Genomic DNA, 3,759 nt, shown 5'->3' with positions numbered 1-3,759 from the left:
TCTGCCTTGATTCCTGAGGACCATTTGTTAGTGGTTACAAACCAGTAATGTCTGTCTACCTGCTCTATGAAAGGCAAGGGCTGTGCAGAGGGGCCGTTTGCATTATAGAATATGTTGGTTTCCTAGGGCTGCCATAACAAATGACCACAAACTTGGCTTAAAACAGCAGAATTTTATTCTCCGATAGTTCTGGAGGAAAGAAGCCTGAAATTGTGGTGTGAGCTCGGCCCTACTCTCCCTGGAAGTTCTAGGAGAGGATTCCTGCTTTCTTCTTCCAGCTACTGGTGGTGTCCACATACTTGTGGCTGCAGCACTCCAATCTGCCTCTGTCTTCACGTGGCCTTTTCTTCTGTCTGTGTCTCTCCTCTGGATGTCTCCTATAAGGACACTTATCAATGTATTTAAGGCTCATGTGGATAATCCACGATGTTCTCATTTCAAGATCCTTAACTCAATTACGTCTACAAAGACCCCTTTTCTAAGTAAGGTCACATTCATAGGTTCTAGGGGTTAGGACATGGACATGTCTTTTGAGGGGCACCATTCAACCCACTGCATAGAATAAGCAAGGAAAGTAGGCACGGAAGCTCCCAGGTATGTGCCAAGAGTGCCACCTGGCCTGTGTCCTGTGCTGCGATGGTTCACAGAGGGGTCAGGTCAAGTCTGACTGTGTCTGAGCCACATGGCATGGCCATAATTTCGACCTCAGAAAAGACTGCTGCTTGTGTCTCCATTCTTCTCTCCTGACCCCTCTCTGTCTCTTGCTCTGCCTCCCAATCAAACTAACATCAGCCTTACTTCATGGGCCTGGGAGGTGGAACAGCACTAAGATGAGGTCCTGTAAATGCAAGCCATTTATTTAAAGCTTCACACACATTTGATAACTAAATAAGGAGTGTAACCTAGCTAACAGTGTTTTACAGATGTCAGTCTTCTGGTTTTTATATTGTATTACAATGATAAGATGTCATCATTGGAGGGAGCTAGGCAAAGGGTTCAAGGGACTCCATGTGCTATTATTGCAAGTTGAAATGAGTCTATATTCATTTCAAAGTTAAAAAGTTGAAAAAATAAACTCATGAGTACTTGAAACCCCTGCAAGAAAAAAATAACCTCTATAAACGTTTCTAGATTAGAAGGTAGAATAATGTAACCCCCTCAACCGCTAGCAGGATGTGGGCTAATTCATCCTCCCAAGGTAGCCCGGGACCTCCCATTTCCAGGGCTGTGGGGAAGTGGCCTCACCCTGGCCCAGCTTCATCCCCATCTCAGGCCTCTTGGGATCCTGTCCTGTGCAACCTCCTCCCTTGGAAGGGAGTTCTGCCAGGCCCTCCCCAAGCTTCCCCAGGCCAGGGCTGGTCTGGGTTGCAGACACATGGCTGAGCTGTGCCAATGTCACCCCACCCCACAGCCCAGGCTGAGCTCTGATGTTGCTGCCATGTGCAGACAGCTCTGGCTCCTGCTGGGCTTCTCCCTTGTGCTTTCCTGGCAGGCAACGATGGCCTCAGTGACTGCCACCCTGACTCAGAGCGATGCTCGGGGTGCCTAGGAGGTGCCGCTCTGGCTCGGGGCCATCCCACCTTACCCTGACTGTTGTGTCATTGATGCATCCTCCTCCTCCTCCCCAGGGCAGGGTGCTCAGTGCCTGCTTTCCCCCTATGGCAGCCTCCAACTGCCACTAGTCTGGGCAAGGTGGAGGCATCTTCCCTGAGCCGCTCTTCTGGTTTTTTTTCTCCTCCCACCTTGGCCACATGGAGTAAGTGAGTTCTGCACAGTGTGGCCGGGTGGTTTGGTGTCAGAGGGGTTATAAACGTGGAGTCTGTGAACAGACTTTGGGGGTTCCAAAAACTCCCTGAGTTTACAAACAAAATGAATAAGCATTTTTTTGTTTGTTTGTCTGGGGGAGAAATTGATTCTCATAAAGGTCCAAGATCCACAAACAATGAAGAGTCTCTGAGGACAAGAAGGGGCTATAACATAACCTTTAATCATTTTGTTTCTGCCATCATCCTGCCTGGCTAAAGTACTATTTCTACCAAATTAGCTCATCTCCTTAACTCAGTTTCCTCCCATGAAAAATGAATTAATTTACAAGATCATACCCCATATGACAAATACTTGGTGTTGTAAGCAATAAATGAGAAAATTATAGAAAGTTTCTGGTACAAGCCAGTAAGAACTCAATAAAGATGAGCTTTTATTATGATCTGCCCAGAGCATATATTATCTTACTGCATGCTTACAGCAGCCGGTATGAGACTGGAGTTAGCAACCTCCTTCGAAAGACCTCATTTGCCCAACATAAAAAGGCAGAGCTGGGATGTGAACCCACAGCCTCTTTCTTTTCCACCCCACTGTGTTGCAGTTTCTATTCCTCCCTTTGCCTGAGTTCTATCAGGTCCTCTGTCAAAACCCACCTCAAATGTCACCTGTCCTGGGAACCTTATTCCTGATCTTGTAGATGTTTGTTGTCTTTCTGCGTTTTGCATACCCTTTTCATGCTTATCTCCCATTCCTGTCTCTGCAACTAGGTAAGGTCTGTGTCTAATGCATCTTTTTGTTCCTGTGCTCAGTTTGGTGCCTGGAATATAACAAATGTCTGATGAGTGGGATATCTTCTCTTCATTCTTCCTTCCTCAATCATTTCCTGCCCATTTGTGGGGTATGGAGATGAGTGATCCATGTCCTCAAGGAACTCAAAGCCTGAGATGGGGCAACAATGCATTCCCTGTGGGTGTCAGCCAGTTTCTGTCTGGACCGCCAGTTCAAACCCACAATCCTCCAACGATGGCTAAGTTGGAAGCACCTAGTAGCCAATGAGGTCTTTTTGTCAGGCACCCCTTTGGCATTAGAGATGACCTAATGGGAAGAGTGTGAGAGTCCGGTAACTGGACATTCCCCTGGGGATGCTCTAGGTGACAGAAAGGAGTGGGCTTGACATTTCAGGACCTGCCTGAAGCCCAGGAGCACTCTAGCCAGTTTGCCCAGCATGTGCGCCCTGGCCTCCACTAAGGCTTCTTGGGTTTACAGTTTTCCTTCTGAAAATGGAAAGACAAAGCCTCCAGATGTTCCCAAAATAGCTGCTTAGTGACCTCAGACGGTGAGTCAGCACTCTGTATTCTGGTCCCCTAGGTGTGCATATGGAAAAGTTGGTTGCTAACTAAGGGTGGAATCCAGAGAAGGATGAAGGATGGGAGGGGCAAGGGGAACTCCACATGCAGTTCAGTGTTAGTTATTTTCTTTTCTTTGTTTCTTTTTTTTTTTTTCTTTCTTTCTTTCTTCTTTTGAGACAGGGTTTCACTCTCTTGCCTAGGCTGGAGTGTGATGGCGTCATCATGGCTCACTGAAGCCTCAAATTCCTGGGATCAGGTGATCCTCCCACCTCAGCTTCCTGAGTAGCTGGGACTACAGGTGCATGCCACCACGCCCAGCTAATTTTTGTATTTTTTGTAGAGATGGGGTTTCGCTGTGTTGCCCAGGCTGGTCTCCAACTCCTGGGCTCAAGTGATCTGCTCACCTCGGCTTCCCAAAGTGCTGGGATTACAGGCATGAGCCACCCTGCCCGGCCTTAGTTGTTTTCTAACTAACTAAAGTCTGCACCTGAGGGTCCATGTCCAAACTTGCACTCATGACTCTCCTCTCAATCCCATTACCAAAGTCTGGCTCATCTCAGACTATCCACCCAGAAACCAAAAGTCGACCTGACCCTGCCTGTTCCTCATCAACCCAAATCAAATTCATCATCAAGGTCTGTCTGTT

At 47.5% G+C, this 3,759-nt stretch overlaps 1 annotated feature.

Moving 5' to 3' along the window:
• Nucleotides 1,369-1,870: an enhancer, noted in NCBI's record as "H3K4me1 hESC enhancer chr20:39061739-39062240 (GRCh37/hg19 assembly coordinates)". NCBI's record gives its function as "activates a minimal SCP1, AML or CMV promoter by ChIP-STARR-seq in primed H9 embryonic stem cells {active_cell/tissue: H9 hESC(primed)}" and the evidence as "EXISTENCE:reporter gene assay evidence [ECO:0000049][PMID:30033119]".

Source organism: Homo sapiens, chromosome 20 (assembly GCF_000001405.40).
Source record: "Homo sapiens chromosome 20, GRCh38.p14 Primary Assembly".
NCBI classification, from domain to species: Eukaryota; Metazoa; Chordata; class Mammalia; order Primates; family Hominidae; genus Homo; species Homo sapiens.
Note: the sequence above shows the minus strand (reverse complement) of the source record. Positions and strands in the feature narration are given on the sequence as shown.